This window comes from Homo sapiens, chromosome 13, assembly GCF_000001405.40.
Source record: "Homo sapiens chromosome 13, GRCh38.p14 Primary Assembly".
NCBI lineage: Eukaryota > Metazoa > Chordata > Mammalia > Primates > Hominidae > Homo > Homo sapiens.
Window position 1 is genome coordinate 43,649,520 of NC_000013.11, and position 23,481 is coordinate 43,673,000.

Below are 23,481 nucleotides of genomic sequence, written 5' to 3' on the forward strand. Positions count from 1 at the left end.
GGTGAGAGGTGCAGAGTTCACACTTTGATAATTCACTGATTCCAAGAATGGTGCTCAGGTTTTAGAGCCAGAGTATCTAGATTTGATTTCCAACTTCATCATATAATAACTCTATGACCTTGAAGAAGACATTTCCCTGACATAGCATCAATCCATTTTTTCTCTATGAATTGAGGTCAAAAGTAGCACACACACTGCCTGGTTCAGAGGGTTCTCACAAAATGAGAAAGACTTTGTAAACTATAGAACACAAGTGCAAACCAAAAGTCCCTTGGCCTCCTAGCGCTACAGATATGTTGTATTTAAGGCAACAGCCTAAGTCCCAATCCTCTGAGCTCCAAGCATGGACTAACAAGTCTGAGCTTTTCCTGGGATCCCCTCCTCAGTTACTCCCTCCAGGATTCCCTGACAGTCAGACTTATGGCCTGCTACCTGACAACCCTCCTCTCCTACTCTCTTGAACTTTTCCTCTGCTCCACATGCCTTCATCACTCTGCCATCCACCAGTCACCATCAACACCTCTGACAACGTTCTCACGGAAGACAACTTCTTCTACAGCACAAAGAATGGGGTGAAGAGGGAAGGGAAGGAACCTCAAGGCCTCACCATCAGGGAAGCCATTTCCACTCTTGAGCCTTGCTTTTTCAAAACAGGGCTGCCAAAGTAACACCGTTAGGTATCACTGACCAGTTCTTGGCAGGGGCTGGCAAATTTTACCAATAAAGGGCCAGATAGTAAATATTTTAGCTTTTGAAGACCACATCTGTCTCTGTAGCATATTCTTCTTTGCTTTTTTTTCTTTTTATGACCCTTTAAAAATGCATAAACAATCCAGCAGGCCACAGGCTGGATTTTCCTCAAGGGCCATAGTTCACTGATCCCTGCGTTATGACACAGCTATCGTTCATGCCATAGTATACTTGTTTTTTGTGTGAGCAGGAGTCTGTTGCCAGTAGGGGGAATTGAGGGGAGGCTCATTAGGTCAGGGGAGGTACCTAGAACCACTGCCCCTGGGACTTTCAAACCCAGGAGCTTGGCCGCGCATGGTGGCCTCACTCCTGTAATCCCAGCACTTTGGGAGGCCAAGGCGGGTGGATCATCTGAGGTCAGGAGTTCGAGACCATCCTGGGCAACATGGTGAAACCCGTCTCTACTAAAAACACAAAAATCAACCAGGCACGGTGGTGGGCACCTGTAATTCCAGTTAATTGGGAGGCTGAGGCAGGAGAATTGCTTGAACGTGGGAGGCAGAGGTTGCAGTGAGCTGAGATCACACCACTGTACTCCAGCCTGGGCGACAAGCGCAAGACTCCGTCTCAAAAGCAAAACAAAACCAAACTCCTATAGGTCGGTCTGGTCCACGTTAACAGACTTCTTCACTCATGGCTTTTGTTCAGGAACCTCATCACGTCCCTCAATCCAACCTTTTTTGGGGAATCCTAAGCTATAAGAGAGATCAGTGCACGTCTGAATGCCAAAAATGAGTCAAGCTCCAGTTCTTACACTCAGAGCCCCTAAGCTCTATGTAAATCTAGCATGTGGCTTCCGTGTTTCTATGACAGTTAGAAGGCTGCTCCACCCACAGCACATGGGACCTCTGTGGTTAGAGTTTCCAATGATACAATCAAGCCTAGGAAAAATGCATCTCAGCCAGTCAGAATATGTTATACATTTATTAGCTACTATGATTATTATCTAAAAAGGAAGAAGAGGAGGAAGAAGAGGAAGAAAAAGGAAGAGGGGGAGGGAAGGAGGAGAAGAGGAACAGGGATGAAGAGGGAAGGGAAGGAGAAGAAACTACTGCAGAAAATTTTGCCAGGATGCAATAATGGTTACAAAATTAAATTATCCTTACCTAGTACTTTCTCCTTGTGATAAAAGACTTCACTTTGAGGCCGGGCATGTTGGCTCTTGCCTGTAATCCCAGCACTTTGGGAGGCCAAGGCAGGCAGATCACTTGAGGTCAGGAGTTCAAGATCAGCCTGGCCGACATGGAAAAACCCTGTCTCTACTGAAAAATACAAAAATTAGCTGAGTGTGGTGGCAGGAACCTGTAATCCCAGCTACTCAGGAGGCTATGGCAGGAGAATCGCTTGGACCCAGGATGCGGAGGTTGCAGTGAGCTGAGAGCACACCACGACACTCCAGCCTGGGCGACATAGCGAGACTCTGTCTAAAAAAAAAAATCACACCTATAATCCCAGCACTTTGGGAGGCCACGGTGGGCAGATCTCTTGAGAGGTCAGGAGATCGAGACCAGCCTGACCAACATAGTAAAACCCCATCTCTACTAAAAATACAAAAATTAGCCGGGGGTAGTGGCACATGCCTGTAATCCCAGTTACCTGGGAGGCTGAGGCAGGAGAATCACTTGAACCCAGGAGTCGGAGGTTGCGGTGAGATGAGATCGTGCCATCGCAGCCTGGGCAACAAGAGTGAAACTTCGTCTCAAAAAAAAAAAAAAAAAAAAAAAACTTCACTTTGAATCTTTTTGATTGTTATATCTATTCTGTAAGTGAAGGCCTCTATAAGCCTATAAAGTACCCAGCTGCAAATTAGTATATAATGCCTACTTGGCCCAAAAGTGAATCAGAAAATGATGCCTCTTCAGGTCTATACCTTAGCACCATTTGACTATCTACAGGTCACTTTTTTGGAGGGAACAGGAGTCAGGGGTGGAGGGGTGGAAGTCACCGGTTAATCCTGGCAGATCCAGCCATCTCCAAGGACATAAATGAAGAGCAGAACCAAGATGGATTCTCATCCCTACTTGAGCCCTTGACCAGGCTTCACAATAACACAGAGGCCCTAACTTAAGTTTTGAGTCAATGTCCACAGGCCCATTTTCTGTAGCTACTTGTAGTATGCTAACATGCTGGCACAGAAGTTAGTGATAATATTTACTGTCATGGTGGTGGTGATGGTGCCACCAATAAAACTTGTCAGCTGAGGGCCCTTGCTCTGGACCACTTAAAGAGGGCTGATTTTTCACAAGACGAAATAACTTAGAAACATAGAGGATAAAGTGGTCCATAGGGTTAGTAAGGTGGAGGAGGGTGACTAAGTCATGAAAGATGTACAGCACAGACAGAAGAGTTTTTAAAATGATTCCAAATAGTGTGTGAGAGCAGACTACTGAAGTTGAGGATGGATGTTTGCACCCTGCAGAGAATGCTGCACTCTAGAGTTTCACAGTGCAAGATGACCTGACTTTCATAGTGGGCAGGAAGGTCTGGGAGGCCTTGCTTTGGACTCAGGAAGAAGTAAGCAAGCTGAGTAGCCGGAATGCCGGTGATGAGCATTCATTGGTCCAAAGGAGAAAGACAAAACCAGGAGGTGGCCTGGAGATTTCCAAGGGAGAGAAAATTCAAAGCTGCCTGGGAGATGCATGGCAGAACCCTAAACAGATTGTAAAGGGGAGGAGAAAAGGTCATGGCAAAGTCAAGGATGACTGGAGCTCCCTGCCTGGGGAAAGGATGGATGGCTGTGTTTTAGTTGCCAAGGCAACAAGCCTCAATGGCAGGCAGAGAGGCTACAGAGTCCCTCTCTGGGAGTATCCTGCCCTCAGTTGCGCAGCACAGGCAGGTCTTCTTCCACCTGGAAGTACAATATGCTGCTCTGCTACTGGAGGTGTGTTTATCACTGAAAAGACTCACCCCCAAGTATACTGGACTGCAGTAGGCTGCAATCATGCTACAGAAACATGTATTTCTCAGCATTGTTAATGGAAACAAACATCTGCAACACCTAATTGAAACCCATTCATAGGAAAGATACATAAAAACATTCTAACCTTTAGCATTATGCACAACTTTTTAAATCCAGAGAATGTTACAGCAGAGATCTACCTTCCTGGTTGAGAGTGTACTACATATTTTCCTTTGGAAACTAAAGATACTACAAACAAACTTGAAAACATATATTTCTTCAAAGTATTAATTTTTAAAGCGGCCAAAATTGCTAACAACCAGGGAAAGTACCAATTTATAATTTATGTTCTTGGCACATAGTATATATTGTGAATTTGCATGCATATTACATGCAAATAACCAAAAGAGCATAACATTAAGGCTTCAAATTTGTATGTGCAAAAGACAGTAAATTCTAACATTAAAATTCTTTCCAGAAAATATTAACTCCCCATATCCCCTGTGACTGTCACATAGTCAGCTGAGCAAACTCACTACAGAACTTGAGTAGTCAATAACCTTGTTCAATGAAAATTTGCATTTCCCATACCTACTCTTCTTAGCAAGCAAAGAAGACAAGACCATTTGGCACCATGTGGGACAGGGATAAGGTGCTAACATGGCCCAGCTTTTCAAACAAATTATCTAACAATTTGACAGAAAAAAAAAGTGCCAGTAAAAATGCCACCATTGAACCACTAACAGAATCTTTACTCCCTTATAAAGATTACAACACTGGGGAAATGAAGCAAAATGCAGCTGACTCTGCTCTTTCCACTATAGTAAAAATATGAGATTTGTGATGGCAAAATCATCTGAGTCAACCTGGCTGGGCTAGAGTGCTCAGTTCTTAAGTCCAACACTAGTTTAGATGTTACTGTAAAAGTATTTGATAGATGGGATTAACATCTATAATCAGTTGACTTTAGCTACAGGAGGTTACCCTTGATCATGTGGATGGGCCTCATCTAATCAGGTGAAGGCCTTAAGAGCAAAAACTGAGTTTCCAAGAGAAGGAGCTCTCCCTCAAGACTGTAACATAGACATCCTGCCTAAGTTTCTAGCCTGCTAACTTGCCCTACGTATTTCATACTCAAGGCTATAACATCAACTCTTGCCTGAGTTTTCAGACTGCTGCCCTGCCCTGTGATTTTTGGACTTACCAGCACCGCATTTGCATTAGCCAATTCCTTAAAATAAATCTCTTCATAAATACATATTTATGTATCTAATGTATAGATAGACAGATTCTGTCTAGTGAACACTGATACAGGATTCAAAGGGATTTTCAGTGTAGAACTAAAAAAGTGCTCAGTATTATAATGCATTCTGGTGGATGGGTAAGTGCTGGTTGATCTTGATTGCAATGTAAAAATTAATGTATTCTTTGTTTAAATAATGCTACTGCTTTGCAGTGCAGAATTTACTGGAAGATTTCCTTCTTGATATCCATTTAAAGAATTTCCATAGTCAACCCTAAGACAAATAAGGGTGAATTTTATTTGTAAAAGAAAAGGGGCTCATGATAATCTTTCTGGTGGCTGAGCCCAGAAGGTTTTGGGGCTCAGCTTGCTGCATTTATATTCTGAATTCTCTGTGGTTCCTAAGTCTTGAGAGATGGAACTATCCCTTCATTTATGTATAGTCTGAAAACACTAATCAGACTGTTTACCCCAATGAAGCAAGTATCCACTTAAATTTAGATCAAACAATTCCATGAGTTTAATGCCACTCCAACCACTCTGTTTCTTTTTGTTCCTTGGCCTTTTCATGAAGTATCTCACAGTATTTGCTGCCACACCTCTGCTCCTCCCTTTCTTCACTCTGTGACACAGAATGCTCATCCATACACTCAGACCCCACTGCTGTGTTCACTGATGATCCCCAGACCTATGCCTCCTTCCTTGACCTCTAATTCCTACCGCGCTCCTTATTTATTGGTGTCTGGATGATCTTCTGGGAATGGGTGGGGCAAGGACTACAGTCATAGCACATCCAAAAGAGAAATGATTGGTTTAGCAAAGTTCTATGTTTCGCAAACTGTTCCATGTCCACCATTCCATGATTTTTAAGCTGGGAAGAGAACCGACCTGTTCCACAAGGCATTTGGACATTTGCTGGATAATCTTCTGGTCACTTTGCTTTTTGTTTTTTTTGGACTGTTAAATATGGAAGTTGTTCTCCAAGGCAGCAATCCAGCCTTGACTTACACTGTCTATAACTTACCTTTATCTTCTGTCTTCTCTATCAGTCCTGTCATCAAGTCAAATTCCTTCTCCTTCTCACTCTTCTGCAGTCATTCTTAGCATGCACCAACTGTCTTCCTCCTGTCTGAGCTATTTTATAACACAGCAACAATCATCTACCCGAATGTCATGTTGATCATGTCACTTGTTGCCAAATGTTCCAAATGTTTCTTCTTGAATTAAATTTCAACCCCAGTTCTACAAGTCCACAGCTGACTCCTTTGATTCTCCTCTTCCTGGCTGTGGTCTGCAACCTGCCCCACCGCTCCCCACACTCCCTTGCTCTCCAAGGCTCACTGTACCCTCTCTGTTCTCCAGATAGCAGGACAAACTCTTTGCTCTCATTACCTCTCCTCTTAATATGTTCCCGTTCTGGAAAAGTTCAAGAGCTGGTGGGTTTCCTTGATTCCACCTTCCAAATAACTAGTTCACCATGGTTTTCCACCATTCCTGATTCGGGGATCTTAAGGTTTGGGTTCATATCCAGAATATCCTGGGGCAAAACGGTAGTAACAATGTGAGTAATCACTGTCTTGACCTCATCCAAAAGACCCCTATTTTTGCCTTTTCTCATAATGATGTCTCAAGTAAGAAACCTCTCAAAAATTTAAATTTCTTCTTGGCAAATTAGACATATAAACTTATCCAGCAAGTTTTATTATGCATGTGTATCAGAATACATTTCCCATTGTGATTTATGCCCATGTTACATATAGTTATGGATATATTTTTAGAAAATTGTTTTTTAAATATTTAATAGCCATTAAAAGGGTAAAATAATTCTCTGCTCCTTATGGAACAGTTAGATGCCATTCTAGTACTTTTGCAAGTATTTGCAATTGTAATCAGTAATGCAGGCAGAAAGAATGCCAGTGTTTTTCAATCATCACTGGCAAAAATGTAAATTTTTTAAAATTAAGACTTTAAAGATCACCTGCATTAATCTTCTGCTAATGCAAGCTGGGACTATTTCCTAGGATTCTGAGTGGTTTAACATCATCAAGACATGTCACAGGCTTCATCCAAATTATTCAATTCCTACCATACATTACGCTGAGCCTCTCAGAAGATGAATCGGGAAGAGGCAACCTAAGTGTTTAGAGAACAAAAGGGAAAATGAAGCACAGAGACCTCTGGCTAAAAGTATAAACCTTTGAGAGGGTTTTAAGGACATACTATAGGACTAAAAAATGAGAACAAATCAGCAGGCCCATTAGCTGTGCAGCAAATTAAAGCACCATTGTTTCCAGTTTCAGCCTTGAATCTGGAGGGCACCAAATAGACCACGCTGTCAGTACCCTCTGTGAAAGAAGTGTGTTCTCTGCTATGTATTCTCAAGCGCCTTTCTATTTTTTTTCAGCTAATTTATCAGTTTCCCACCTCTTCTCCTAAATCATTATTATAAACTTCCCCAGGAACATGTTAAAGGGACAACAGGAAAATAATCAAAGTTTCAAAACACAATCTATATTTATCATGAATTTCAACTTATCTTTTTCCTTGTATTAAAAAATGAAGCTTGCTATCTTCAGATTTATATTCCTTTTATCTTAATCCTTGGGGTAAAATATGGCATGTGGATAATCCACAAACTAAATAGCCTCTGCATTTAAGAAGTAGACCATAGTCCACAGTTGTATAGTCCACATTTTGTCATCTCATCTCATAAAAACAAAGTTGAAAGCGGCTCTGTCCAATCTTTTGAGAGGGCAAAAGGTCTGGAAGATCCAATAAGACTACACAAGAGATTTTTAAACATTAGTATGTATTTAAACCAATTTATTCATAATATAGTCTCAACTGTTACATAGGACTAGGCCCAGAGATAACTGCTTTCAATTCTTTAAGTAATTATTTTAGATTTGTTTCCACATGTGGAAATCAGTAGGTGTTGGCTCACTATTGTGCAAAGAATTGATTCCAGGTATGCAATGAGGTATGGATGTCTCTCAGCCTCAGGGAATCAGGTGGGGTTCTGAGGTAGCAGGTGCCTCTGGGCAGATAACACCTGGCCATCAGCTTCCTCAAGGTATAAAGGCATGGTCCTCATGGCTCTGCTGAGAGGCACTAGAAACATCCATGGACACCCATGTCAACAGGCTGCTGCAGAAAGCACCCCTTCACTTTGTGCAGAAGCAGTCCATGTAGCTGCTGGAGGAGGTTTCATTCCAGGTATAGAAGGCACAGCTGGTTGAAAGTGGAGCTCTAGAAAGGTGTGGGCAGAAGCGCCTGGTAGGCAAAGCTACAAGGGACAGCCCCAAAAATTCTGTCTATACATACCAGACATTTCTTTCCAGTTGAGTCAAATATCGTCTTTTACTGGCATCCAGGCTACCTATGGAGTGACTGCTCTAACAATAAACACACAGTTTATAAATTCGGGCCTCATTATTATTTTAATTACTTGATAGGAAAAAAATTAGTTGAATTTGAAATCTGTTGGAATTATCAGAGGATTGCATTTGTCTAGCAAAGAAAAAAGCTAAAACTATTAATGTTTTTAAAGATAACTTTAACTTTTATAGAATATGAAACGGTGGTGAAATGGCTTGTTTTTTTAAAAATCACTACTTGTGTAGTATCTCACTGACAATGACTAAAAAGAATTTGAAGAGAGAATCATTAAGATATTGATCAAGAATTGTGTTCAGCCATTTCAGGCATATAAGAAATATAAAAAGTTATGTTTATGAAAGCAAGCTCAGGTTTTTCATTGAAAAAATCTGAAAATATGTTATTTGAAGTTTTATATCTACTTAATATTCTACAAATGAATGTCTCCAGCTTCCTACATTATTTAGTATCAGTTTCTATGCTTGTCATACTAAAGACAAAAATTTATATGCACTGATTTAAATAACATGTTTCTCTTACTACTTCTTAGTTTTTTGATTTCAGGTATTATTGATTGACCTCCCAATGAGGAAGATGAGGGTTAGGTTTTTTATCACACACACGCATGCCTCATGTTCCCATCCTCTCAGAATAATTCTGGTTGTGTTAAATATCCATATTTACATCCTTAGAATCATGTAGTGTTCTATGATTATATCTCATTTTCTGCCTTTTTGTCTTCCTTGGAATTAATCATTGTTATATTTAATTTGCGTTAGTTTCCTATGTACTTATCATGATGCTATCCCCAAAGCCTCCCCAAGATCTGTAAATCTCCTCTCAGAGCAAACACATTAGGTGTTTAATCAATTTTACCATCTTGAAGAACTCTCTCCTGAATCCCTCTACCTACTGCAATTTAGATCAGTTGATCACTAGTCCAGTGCACAGCTGTTGAGATCTCTTTTACCATCACCTGTGAATTCTTTTCGCCTCGCTCTTGTGTTGGTCCTATCTCTGGGATACCAGGTCTTTCTTTTTATTAGTTTACCATATCATTTATTGGACCACATTCTAGTGTTGTAAAGTTTCATGATCATCTGTTGTTATTCCCTTTTAATCAGGAAACTTCTGTTTTTGAGAAATTTTGGTGAATTATTCCTTTGATGGTTTTCTGTCCTCCATTTTTTATGTTCTCTGAATCTGGTGTACTATTTTTGGATGTAAGAACCAATCCTCTAAGCTTCTTATTTTTTCTACGTTATTTTCTATTCTTTCTCTTTTTACTACACTTTCTTGAAAATTTCCTTAATTTCACCTCCTAACCCTTATAAATTCTGTTGTGTTTCATGGTTATAATATCATGCCTTATCTGTCTGGAGATACTGATGATTTCTTTTTTCAGATTTATTCTTCTGGCCGGGCACTGTGGCTCACACCTATAATCCCAGCATTTTGGGGGGCAGAGGCAGGTGGATCATTTGAGGCAAGGAGTTCAAGACCAGCCTGGCCAACATGGTGAAACCCCATCTCCACTAAAAATATAAAAATTAGCCAGGTGGTAGTGGCACGCGCCTGTAATCCCAGCTACTAGGGAGGCTGAGGTGGGAGAATCGCTTGAGCCTGGGAGGCAGAGGTTGTGGTGAGCCGAGATCACGCCACTGTACTCCAGCCTGGACGACAGAGTGAAACCCTGTGTAAAAAAAAAAAAAATTTTCTTCTTCCTATTAAGGTTGTTTCCTCCAAGTTGCTTTTTTTGTTTGCATGCTTTAGTTTTTTTCTCTCATGATATTAGACATTTCCTTAAATGTCTCACGATCCTTGGCTGTCTGAGATATTTAAGGGCCGAGCACTAGAAGGTCCACAGAAAGGTTGGGAGTGTGGTTGTTGATATAGGATTTATTTTAGAATTGTTCTGGCTAGGCCCTTCCTTGAGGGAATCCCTGATATCAGTATCCTTGAGTTCTATTTTTAGGTTAGAGTCCCAGGGATGTTTCCTGGAGTTTCCTGCAGGAAAGGTATCCTTAGCTGCCTGTAGGCTAAGGAGCAGAGAACAGAAGGTATTGTCATTCTTGGGATTTGGTAAATCAGTGTAATCCACAATCTACCACATTTCAGGACCATATTATACCACTTTTAACCTTTCCTGATACTTCTCAATCCAGAAACCTTCTGTTTTACCAACTCTATAGAAAACATAATCTTCATCCCTCTGTTGGAGTGGAGGAGCAGTTTCCTTCTTGTATAAAGTTAGGAAGCAGATCTGAACTTTCAACCAATACTTCTCAACTGTATCTCCACTCTCCCTTCCAGGGGTTCTTGTTCCTGAGTTTTTGCAGTGTTCATCAGTATAATTTGGCTTACCTTTTTCCTTTCTCCTCTGCTAGATTAAAATTTCACTTTCTCAGGTCTGCTAAGTAAGTTAGCAGTCATCCATCTATATCCCAAATCCCAAAGTGCTGTAACTGTTGCCCTATTTCTTTGCTCTCATCGGTGTGTGCCTTTTAAAATAAAAATCCCTTAAACATCATTTTAATGAAGTTTCAAGAAGGGTCAGGAACTAACACATGTATTTATCCTTAATCTGAAAATGATCAGTCAGTCTTTATCCTTTTGCATTGACATTGAAATGGGGATTACTCTTTTTTGTTCCCTCAAAAACATTAAGCCAAGGCCCAACATTCAAGAGGAACAGGAAATAGAGAAAATAGCAATTTTTGGATTTAGATGAAACTAAATTTAATAATCGCATGCTCTTATAAACTAGTATATCATTGCCCTAACGATATATTGGACATTGTGGGAAATAAAAATATGTCTCTATTTCAAAACAGTCTCTAAAACTTCTGAAAAAGATGAACAATTAAAGAGGTCCTTAAATTGATAATTAACCTAAAAGAGAGTATTCAGAGAGAAAAATCACCAGGCAAGGAAGAATGGTAAAAGGCAAACTCACTGGAGCAAAAAGGACCTTAAACTCCATTTTGAAAAATAAGTGTTACAGACATTTCTTCTGCAGAGTTTGCATAATGTGTATTAGGTATAAAGTGATCAATTGATTGGGGAATACAATTTATTTTATGCAGACTAGGGCTCCTGGCATAAGGGAAAAAAAAGCTCTTCTGCTTACAACACAGCTGTTTTAAGGTCTTTATTCTCCATTTCTCACAATAGTGGATCATTAAGATGTTGAAACAATTTTTTAAAATACCAGCTTAGTTCACTACCATCTTATAAAAAGAGATACAATAAAATGCATTTTTTCGTGATGTTCAGGTTTTAAAGTTATACTTTTACAGAGATAGAAAATACCATTATTACTTAAATAACTTCAGGTAAAACAACTTTGTTTATTGTGCCCCTGCAACTCTCAAGTCTCCAACACTATTTATGCCACTGAAATAATTGTCTTTATAGCACAGGTTTTGATAATGTGCAGTTTTAAGGACTATATTGCCTGGAGCAGAACTGACTTTAATTGGATGGATATAGATATGAGAGGATTTGATGCAGAATACTGTGCGCGTTGCAAAATGGGATGACAGAATGAAGAGACGAATCTGTCTTCCCCATAGGGTCTGGGTAGGAGGCCGGTGGAAGTTAAGTATAGACGGGTGTCTGGACAAGTCTGAACACAGATGCTTTCAAACCCAAGTAGTAGGGAATGAACTCTAAAGTACAATGAGCCCACAATTTTGTAGACAACAAAGAGACATTGATGTTTTCTGAATAAAGAGTAATGTTGTTAAAATGATATTTCAAAAAATGTAATCTGCCAATACTGTATAGGGCAGGAAGTCTGGTCACAGAAAACAGTTAAGACACTAAATAATACAGAGATCCAAAGTCATGTGAAGCTGGCCTGGATTCCTTGGCAGTAAAAATGTGAGAGAACTCACTTCAGAGCAAGAATCAATAAAAATGAGGGATCTACATTTACAGTACTATAGATACAGGCAGCCCAGTAAAAGAAACGGGACTGAATTAGGACTGATAAAAGGACTTACAGTGAAGTAGTTTTTAAACTAAATCTGTGATATCATTTGGTTTTCAATTCAAGAAACATTTACCGAGTATCTACTATATGCAAGGCATGCAGTCTTTTCTCATCATTTGTCTCATTATCTTAGAAGCCAAATGTAAAAAAATCCAGTTAATTAATTTCACAGACTGATTGATGTTCTTCTGCAAGAACAACAGATTGATTTTTTTTTATAGACAGCAATACTAATTCTTCCATCATGTCCTTCTCTTTCTGTGCACATAGTCCTATCGACTTTGGGGCCAACTCAATACAAAAGCAGAAGAAAGGCATTAAGAGAACAAGGTCCATTAGGCCCGATATTGCCTCAATTACTTTAATTCCATTATTCCTGTTCATATTACTTCTTTAATCAATAACTCTTTTCAGTTTTTCATGTTTACCCTTTTCAAAATCACAAGTAATAGGATTACGGTCTTTTGAGCTCAGTGGCAACAGAGTTTCATAAATATATTTCTGAATTTGTGATTGTCTCCAGATCTGCAACTGAGAAGTCTTAAATTGAATCAAGTTTTCCAGAGGCCATTTTATTTAATAATGCAGAGCATCTCCATGCAATATAGGTGCTTTTCCCTGTTATTCCATTTGTCACTCACTGTCAAAGACAATCACACATGCTGAATGGCTTTCTAAGTATCTTCTTCCCATGTCTAAACCTTTGGGCAGTTTAACTGATTTTCAAACTGCATCTCTTTTCTGTACATATTTCTGACTTTTGTTTAATGTAATCCTTCTACCTTCACTGACAATTATTCTTCCCTCTAAGAGTTTCATCTGGACATTATGTTAACTACTACCCCTTCCAGATGACAATTAATCAATCCCTCAGTTCTACCTCTGTAGCAGCCTTTCAAATTAAAGGAACTCTGTTTTCCTCTACCGTTTTAACAAACATCCATGCAATGTCTACTATTAATAAATGCAAGAAGCTGCACTTCCAGCATAAATAGGATACAAGATAGGTATATGGCCCTTCCCTTCAACATGTGGATAGTCTAAGAATGTTATAAAAATAACTTGTGATATATGAGAAGCATGCGAAAATTGCAATATGCAGCATCTATTCAAAGTTCTGGAATTCACAAGGGATAAAATCATTCATGAGTAGAGAAAAGTTTTCATAAAGGATATGAATTTCAGTGAGGTCTTAAAGGAGGGAAGGATTTTGAAAATGGAATCTAAGAGAGCAAAGTAACCAATTCTGTGTGAAAAGCAAAGCAGGCAAATCTAGTAGAGTAAATGATTCAATGGAGTAAATTAAAGAGAGCTTGACTTCCCTTTGGAAGCAGTGAGACCAGGACAAGGGTGAAGCAGTGAGACCAGGACAAAGGTCATAAAGGAAGAGTTTGGCAGGATATAAGCACTCTTTCACACAGCCATTCTCCCTGCAAGGAGCAGGATGAACTGAAGACATACAAAAGAAGCTTCAACAATGTGTCAAAGGACCTTCAAGATTTGATTTCTGCCTTCCTATAGAGTCTCATCCAGCCCTATATCCCTCTTCACACTTTATGCTCCAGCAGTACCTAAACAGCATGGAATACAGAAACATGCCCTGCCCCCTCATACCACTCTGCTAATCTCCCCTCTGTTTCATTTAGAATGTTCTCTCTCTACCACTCATCTCCTACCAATTTCCATTCAAATACAATCTTCTCTATAAAGTATTTCCTAATTGTCCCAAGCCAGTTTAGTTGCTCTGTTTCCTATATAAAAGGTATACTTAGTTTTATAGCTCCATCATAGTCATGCAAAAATCATTGCTTTCTCCCACATAAATTATAATATACTTGATACTATGCCCAGAACAATTTTTGGCACACGTCCAAAGGGTACTACATGAATGAATGAATGAACAAACGAATGAACAAACAAAACAGAGTGGTCATATGAACAAGCAAGAAAAAGGTAAGAAATGCTTGGAAAGGATAATCGTAGATTTAAAAAAAGGAAAGTAAAAATATGAAAGAATTACAGAAATTTGACAGAGTTTAGTGGTAACTAAATGTAGATGAAAGAGAATTCCAAGCTTCTGAGTTCCCTGCCAAAAGCCACTGCTCTTCTTCCTCATTTTTATATTACCAGCTCATAAGCACTTAACATAAACTCATGATTTAAATGAAGCAAAGATGGACCCATCAGAGGGAGAGGCAGAAGATCCTACAGAAAGCAGACATTAAGATTCCTATTTTAACTGATTTGTGTACAAAAATTTTCTGAAAAATGTTGATAGAATTTTGAAGTATAATTTGTTTAATTAATATACTTTCCATAATATAATAATTACATTCTAATGTCAGAGATCTAAGAAAAACTTACCATGTTAATTATTAACTAAAAAGACATAAGAATCATTTTTCTCATTTGCCTTTTTTTAAAATCAGAGTTTAACAAGTTAGCAAATTATTATCAAGTCCATGAGAATCTTATAGCTGAGTTTTCAGAAATGTGAAATTAGAGAATGCAAAATGGAGTAAAGACAAAGCAACAACAATAAAACTTGTTTTCCATGTTCAAGGCACCTGAGGTTTTATTTCTGGGTTATTTTCTCCTTAATAATAGAGAAGTGTTAGATACACATAAGTTAATTATTAAAATAAGACTTATTGGGATGTTATAATTGTTGTAGCACACACTGTAGAGTACTTCACTGGCTATTTTGGGACAGCTGAATTACTAGAATATAATTGCTCACCAGGCCCTACCTGCAGCCAGCAAGGGCTGGCCCACCATCACTCTGTTTGATCACTGTATAACCAAAACAAATTAACTGTTTCAATTTTAATGAAACCTATAGACATGCCCACAAGCCACACTAGGAGAGTTCATGTGAAAAGTTATGGGAGACCTCTAATCAAGGGTAGTAAGCTCTTGCATAAAATGGAAAAGAAAAGTAAGCAATGGAGACACAGGATGAAGTTATACATCTATATTTGGTATTTGGTGGAACTCTGCCTGCATGCATCACACATGCCATAAATATTTGCTGTTTGATTTACCAATTTTCTTAGGACTAATGTCAGAAAAATGCTAAAATGAATTTCTACTTTCATTTTCATTTTCTACTGCCTGTCATCATCTTATAAATCCACTGCTGTCTAAGCCAATGCTATCAGTTGGCCATAGGACAGCCTGCAGCCCCACCCCCAGGAACACAAAATCTCCTGCGGGGCTGGAAAAGCTTGTAAGTAAATGATTCCACCTTCCTGGAGGCCTGGGCCTGACCCACACAGTCAATCTCTAGACACTGGTCTGCCTGCTTACAGCAGCTCCACACAGCACTAATCCAGGGGCTTAAGTGAATTTGCAGGGCTCCTAAAGATGCCTACCTCACTCCTAGGAGGAGATCTGACCCTGGACTTTCACTCTTCTCAGCAGGAGGCTCCCTTTTGCTATTAAAAAGGTAATCCTTTCCTGGAAGTAACAGTAGACATGGCTAGAAAGCACTACCCCAAGAGGAAATAAAGGGTTTCCCAAATAAGCAACTCTAAAGAACAGATCATTTAAGTGCTACCTTGAGACCAGTATCCTAATAATTTATCAACACCCAAATCTGAACACTCAAAAGATAACTTGTAATAATGTTGAGTTAAGGATGCATAAAGAAGGAAGAAGACGCGATTAGGGCAGATCTATTTCAGGATAGCATTTAGAGATTAAAGCCAGAGAAGAGAATGTTAAATTTAATAAGTGCAAAGAGATGCAGCTGGAAAGAAAGAATAGCCTGGCTAAGTATGATTTAAACGGTATTGAATTAGCTGGAAAGATATCTTGATATACTGATAGAGGCGGCATGTAAATTGGCAGTTCAACCTGCGATGCCAACACAGACAGCAGTACCGGCTCACACAAAGGGCTATATTTTATAAAAACCCCATCTGCTACTAATTTTAAAGGAAAACTCTTATCTCATTTATGAGGTTGTTTAGCCTGGACTAAACTGAAGGCAAGAGCTCCCTGAGGACAAATGCCAGCGTAATACCTGCCCACCTCTGGTCACTGCACTTTGCTTTGTCAAATTAAATTTGGCCATGGCCTTTATAGTCCTTGCCATTCGCTAATTCAACAAATATTAAGCAGCAGGCACCATACTAGATGCTTTAGGGTTATCTAGAGGAATTCACTTCAGGCATGCCTTGAATATATTACAGGCTCGGTTCCACACAAACTTTTTGGTTTGCCAGTGCGTATAAAGTTATGTTTACACTATACTATACTCTATTAATTGTGCAATAGCATTATATCTAAAAATGAACACACCTTAATTTAGAAATCCTTTATTGCTAAAACAATGTTGATACAGGAACACAGTGTAAGCATGTGCTGTTGGAAAAATGATGCTGATAGACTTGCTGGATGCAGGGTTGCCACAAACCTTCAATTTGTAAAAAAACATAGTATCTGCAAAGCTCAATAAAACCAAGTGAAATAAATTGAGGTATGCCTGTACCCCTATAGTGCTATTGGCTGAATTGTGTACCCCAAAAAGATGCTGCAATCCAAATCTCTCATACATATGAATGTGACATTTTTAGAAATAGAGTCCTTGCAGATGATCGAGTTAAGATAAGGTCATTAGGGTGAACCCTAATCCAATATGACTGGTGTCCTTACAAAAAGGAAACCTGGACATAGACACAGACACACATGTAGGGAAGACAGTGTAAAGACACAGGGAGAATGCCATCTATAAGTCAAGGAATGCCTGAGGCTGCCAGAAGGTAGAAGAAAGGCCTGCGACAGATTCTCCCTCACGGCCTAGAAGGAAGCAACCCTGCTGACACCTGGACTTTGGACTTCTAGAATCCAGAACTGTGAAACAATAAATTTCTATTGTATAAACCAGCCAGTTTGTGGTGCTTTGTTAAGGCAGTCAGATGAGACTAATACAGACTGGGTCACAAAATAAGCAAGTCCAATAACAAAATTACCATGGTCATCAGAACTCCTAATGTGGGTCTATCTATGGAAGCTTTGGCTCAGTTAATGGGTCCAGGTTTGGTCACTGGATGATATAGATCACTGTCATCCACGTCAGTTCTATAAAGGGCATCAAAGAAAAAGATAGCTCATATCCTAAGGAGAGACTAACCCAATGGGGACTGTTTAATCCTCTAAGAAGGTGATTAGAAAGAAACAGAAGCAATAAAGGTTAATGGAAAATTAATCTCAAGTGACCTGTTTGGGCAAATCAAAGTTGTGAGACATGTACTTATTTCTAAAGAAAATGCAAAGGAAATTTAGAAGGATAACTTTAGATAAGGGGACAGAGATAAGACTTTAATTAGAAGTCTTCAATATTCATGTATTTACATAAGTGTTGAAAAGATAAAGGCTTCATGATAAGGTGATAAAGATGAACAATGGTAGTACCTTTATGAAAACTCTATAGAAGTTGGAAAGAGATTTCAAGTGACCAGTCCTATTTCCTTGCTGGCTGTTTACAGAGGCCCTGTCACAGGTACTTTGTAAATGCTCCCCAAATGCATGTTAGTTCAGAGATCTTCTGCCACAGGCCCTCTGAACCCCAGATATAACTAAGACACACATTAGAGAATGATGCCAGAGGTATAATTAAACTACATCCCTTCCCATATGGTGACAACCAACCTGCTTGTTATTTGTGGTGCACATACCATCCCTTTACCTGAGCATGGTGAGCTCTCTCTCCTCCACATATTATAAATACGACATCATGCTGGCAGCAAAGGACCTGTAAAATAAAGGCCATCTTGTTAGAAAAAACTTCAAACATCAATTTCAGAGAGCTGACTGAACATATATATGTAAGCAGATGCAAGGTTTCGCCTGCAAAGTTCGAGCTGAACATAGCCCTTTCCATTTCTGGCCACTGCAATTGAATGCCCTTGGAGAAGGTCTCCGCATGGTGCTAACTTGGTAACAATCAATAAATGTGAAGGTCTCATCATAAACAAAGCCTCCGAACTGTCAATCTTTCAAAGAGTATTTCTGCTTTAAAAGTAGTCTTTGTTGCTAAAGTAGCTACACTAAAGCCAGTGCTAGGGCCAGGGCCTCCCAAATCTAAGAAAGCCTAAATAAATAAAGCTGTGTGTTAATTAATGGCAGTACAATCTAAAAATGTCATTCAGAAGCAGTTTTAGGGGTTGACTGGTATCAGACGTACTGTTTTTAAGTATGAGAAATTCTTGCAAGTTTCCAAATTGAAATAAGAGTTACACACTTATAAGCTTTCTCTCAGGAAATTTGTTGTTCTGCAAACTATAAAGTGCACCTAGATATTTTCATAGGATAAATCCCAACTTTATTTTCTAGAAAGTATTTTAAAGCCTTGTTACTCAGAGTGTGGTCCACAGGCAGCAAAATCAGCCTCACCAGTGAGCTTGAAGTGCTGAATCTGAGAACCCACCTGAGACCTACTGCAACAGAATCTGCATTTTAACAAGATCCTCAGATAATCCCTTTGCACATTAAAGTCTGAGAAGCATGGTTTTAAAGTGCCTTATACATCAGGCCTGTGAGTGCTAGAATCATAAGAAATAGGTTGCCCCGAACTTCAAGACCATCCTCTGGTATCTAAAACTTAATGGAATCACAATTCCTCTATTATAATTGCACGAATCTGGAAACAAATATTCTACTAAACTCTCCAGAAACACCTTACATCTGGCTAAATCTCTTTTCTTTCCAGAACATGTAGACTAATTGTAAACAGATAACTAAAAGCATAGCCAAATTTGGAAGTATTTTACACTCTAAAGACCAGCATCTGTAGACATTGAAGATAGACATTATTTGTTCCATAACTAGGTGCTCAGTAATAACTAATACTGTGTAAAGAGCCCCAAAGTGGAAGGATAAAAATTACCACATGGCATGATAGATCTAATAGGGAAAGGTCAGCACAAGAAGCCAGGGGCAGGGGAAGGTACTGGTACACACTTAGAAAGTACCTGACCCAGGTGGGAAACACTGGGAAGGCTTCCTGAGCTGAGTATTGAAAAAGGATGAGGAAAGATCTTTTAAGAAGCAGTCCGCCTACAGGTATAGTGAATGAGGGCAGGTCACTAGACCAGCAAGGAGCCAACTACCTTATTTCAAAAAAATATCCAAATGTGATTTTATCAAGTTTTTTCAGCTTCTTTAATATTTGTATGCATGAGCTATAAATGTGACAGCCCTTAGGAACACGTCTCTTCCCTTTCAACTATCCTACAAGACAAGGAGGAATGGCAAACATCAAACACAAGATGCACTACTCAGAAGTCGGCTGCAAACTGCAAGGGGGCAGGAATAGCAGAACTGTACCTCCACATTTGCTATTTGATCACACAGAGTGTCAATGAAACTGCAACCAGCAATACGGGGACCATAAAGAGAATCACATTAAAGTTAATACAAAAGTCAGGAAAATGTCTTCAGCAAGGGACACTGGCTATTTGGCAGATGCCCTGCTGGGAGTAATTGAAGGCTCTCAGTGTGACCAAAGTATGCACTCCCCTCTCTGAGCCCTTCTCTTCCTCCTGAATTTAAACAGTTCTTATCCCATCTCCTTCCCCCTCACTTATTCTTGTGATTTCTCTGACTCATTTTCCTTCTCCCTCACTACCTCCAAGTGCCCTCCTATCTCTAATTCAACTCCCTTCTTTTCCCTTTCAATCTGCCCATTTTTTCACCCCTTCCTTTTGTGAGAAGAAGGAGCTAAGGCCCTTCCTTTTGTGAGAAGAAGGAGCTAAGGGAGAGAAGGAAGGACAACCAAACATCTTTTTTTCCCTTTTTTCTTTGCTCCTTTCCCTTTTCTTCACTAACGTCCCCACATTTTTATTTCCCTCTTCTATCCTCTCTTTTCTTTCCTGGAATCAAATCCCTGTTATCAGTACATAACCTGTCTTCCCAAGCATAGAGCTTAGAAATGATAGGAAAATTGCTCGACTCCTAGACTGTTCCGTTGTAATTCTTGGGAGTTCTCGGATTCTCCTAACCCACTGCCAGGTCAATGATTGAGAGAGGAAAGAAAAACTTTCAAAACCTAGCATTTTCTTAGCATTTCCTAAAATGTAGAACAATTCTGGAGTACTTGGCTGTTGTACTGAAAGGGGATAAAGATGTAAAACATACTAGACCAAAGGTTTCATTCTACCCCTGGTTCTCCCTAAGTGTATTTCCTCCAACCCACCATGAAACCAACTCTTCTGTTACTCTTATTCCTCTTTCTGCATATCCCCCAAACCCTCCTGGAATGACTGAAACACGCTTCATTACCAGTAAGAGCCAGATAAATGACAAGGCAGGAATTAACAGAGTGCTTCTTTACAACGACACAGAGTAGCACACAAAGAGCCTCATTTAATGCCCCATTAGGAAGCCTTACAAGTTACAGCTTAATAAATATATGAAGATTATCGTAATATAGAAAACATCTGGTACCACTTCCCACATGAAATGCACTTATGGAGAACTCTACAGAGTAGGCTGTGATATGGCAATCTTGCATATAGTCTTTGAACTGCAGAAAAGCAATTTGGCTTCCTTTAGGTATTTCACTCTTTATTTTCAACATATGAACTATGAACGAAACTTTGTAGGCAAATCTGATTTCCCAATCTTTTTATTCCAGCCCCTAGATACCATATATGCCCCTGAAATAGAGTACATATTCCCAAAATATTTGCTGAATGAATGAGTTAACTAGTCAAACAATCACTGGCCAATCAACATAAGCCTTAAGACACAACTGAATTAAGTATTTGAAGGAAAATAGGGCTGGGAGCGGTGGCTCATGCCTGTAATCCCAGCACTTTGGGAGGCTGAGGCAGGTGGATCACTTGAGGTCAGGAGTTCGAGACCAACCTAGCCAACATGATGAAACCCCACTTCCACTAAAAATACAAAAATTAGCTGGCATGCCTGTAATCCCAGCTACTCAGGAGGCTGAGGCAGGAGAATTGCTTGAGCCCAGGAAGTGGAGGTTGCAGTGAGCCAAGATCGCGACACTGCACTCCAGCCTGGGCAACAGAGTGAGAGTCTATCTCAAACAACAAAACAACAACAACAACAACAACAACAACAACAAAACACCAGTATTTGAAGGAAAATATCACACAATAATGCATTTTGAAAATTTCCCCTAGATTTTTGGTATTGACATCTGATATGATCTGGCTCTGTGTCCCTACCCAAATCTCATCTCAAATTGTAATCCCCACATGTTGAGGGAGGGAAGTGACTGGATTAAGGGGGTGGTTTCCCCCATACTCTTCTAGTGATAGTAAGATCTCATGAGATCTGATGGTTTTATAAGGCAGTTTTCCCTGCTCTTGCATGCTCTCTCTCTCGCCTGCTGCCATGTAAGATATGTCTGCTTCCCCTTCCACCATGATTCTAAGTTTCCTAAGGCTTCCCCAGCCATGCAGAACTGTCAGTCAATTAAACCTCCTTTGTTTATAAATTAGCCAGTCTCAGTTAGTATCTTTATAGCAGTGTGAGAACGGACTAACACATCATCTAATCATAAGGTCAATATAGGGTGTTGGATGTAACTCAACTCTCAGAACTAGAATGAAAAGAGGTGCTGCTTTGGGCAGAGACCCTGAGCAGTCAGATGTGTCAACATTCTAACAGCAAATGAATAAATGGAAAACTCTAGAAAGCAAACAAAAGTTCTCAAAAACTACAGCAGCCTAGAATAAATTAGTCAATCCCTCTATTTGTTCCCATGATACTCTCTACACATACCCCATTATTACTGAAGGTCTCATTACACCATTACATTTCTTCAAAGGTTTCTGACTCACCCTGGGAAGTGACGACCTGATCACAGCCCACTACGATTTCCGAGGCAAGCCAAAAAGAAACCCCTAGAATAGATCTGCTCTACAGATCAGGAAAGGGACTGGAATCCTATTTTGTGGAAGGGGAAGAGGAGACATGACAAGTTGAGCTGTGTCTGGATAGAGCTCAAGGATCCCTATCTCTCTGGATTCACCTCTGAATTCAGGGACTAGGCTAGCAGTTCCCCAAGAGCGAGATAGCAAGTCACTCCATTTCAATCAACCAAGAGTTTAGTGGAAAAGCCAGTAGTGGAAATTTGTTGTAACTTGCTCTAAATGTCTTAATAATTTAAAAAATATGTTTTATTAAATATCATCAATAGTGTTCCAGATATTGGAATCTACTTTGTATTCAAAAACTATGAGAGGTGCTTTTTACCATTCATACCATTGACATCATTGGACTGAGATCATCACCCCTTCAGAAAAGAACTCTTTAGAAACCTACCCAATCTATCATAGAGAGAGCGAGCTTCCTGTTAACCTTCAACTCCATTGCCCCCTCAGACTTGAGCCAGTTTTAACAAACGCCCTGCACTTACATCTGAAAAGGAGTTGACCCTTTGAAGGAAAAAAATGTAGACACTTCTAGGATATATGTATTTTAGTGTAACTCTAACCCAAAGTAAAGTATTTTGTAAAAACTTTAGTTAAGTACTTACTAAAGTAAATTTACTAAAGTAAAGTAAAGCCTTGGTAAATCTCTCCTACTTTATTACCGTTAGATAATATTCCCTTTAACCAATCCTATTTCTCCACAACTATCCACTTTTTCATCACCTAGCATAAAAATAAACAAGTTTAACCATTTCTTCAGGTCTTTATGTCCATACGAAGGCTTCTTTGTCATGTACAATTTATATGAAATAAATTTGTATGCTTTTCTCTTTTTAATGTCTTCTTTAAGAGGGGCATCAGCCACGAACTTAGGTTGAATGAGGAAAAGATATTTTCTCCTTCTACACCATTTTAAAGCAATCCCTAGATACTGCTCATATTATATCTGCATATCGTGAGACCTAGATTTGTTACCATTCAACAAACAGGGGTTCTAATAATAAGGAATTAGAGAAAAGGTAAAATGTTCTAACCTTTTCCTCTTAAGTTTCACTTTGAGATCTCCAATATAAATTTCCTAATTATATAAAAACCACCGCTCTATGATTTCAGTGCTATAAGTCTGATTTCATCCTTATTTCCAGAAAGAAAAAAATAGTTGCATTTGCCATCTGAATTCACTACCTACAGTTCTACAGCTATGTTTTTGTACTGGGGCATTGAAGGACAGCAAAAAGTAGGGACAAAAAAGTCTCTTACCTCCCAAAGCCATCTGAGTGCCCTCTCACCCTGCAAATCACAT

The 23,481-nt window shown here is 39.4% G+C and overlaps 1 protein-coding gene across 28 annotated transcripts in view; it reads right to left on the minus strand.

Moving 5' to 3' along the window:
• Window positions 1-23,481, minus strand: part of ENOX1 (ecto-NOX disulfide-thiol exchanger 1) — a 573,843-nt gene that overhangs the window by 436,390 nt on the left and 113,972 nt on the right. For 12 of the 28 annotated variants that reach the window (NM_001347963.2, NM_001347971.2, XM_047430424.1 and 9 more), the window contains one exon: window positions 17,960-18,025. The exons of 1 other annotated variant lie outside the window; for it this stretch is intronic. In NM_001347963.2, coding sequence (NP_001334892.1) covers window positions 17,960-17,990 — 31 coding nt within the window. In that variant the 5' untranslated portion in view covers window positions 17,991-18,025. Of the gene's footprint in view, window positions 18,026-23,481 lie in introns of all 28 variants that reach the window. 15 more of the 28 variants (XR_007063686.1, XM_047430421.1, XM_047430422.1 and 12 more) reach the window with 3 other exon arrangements.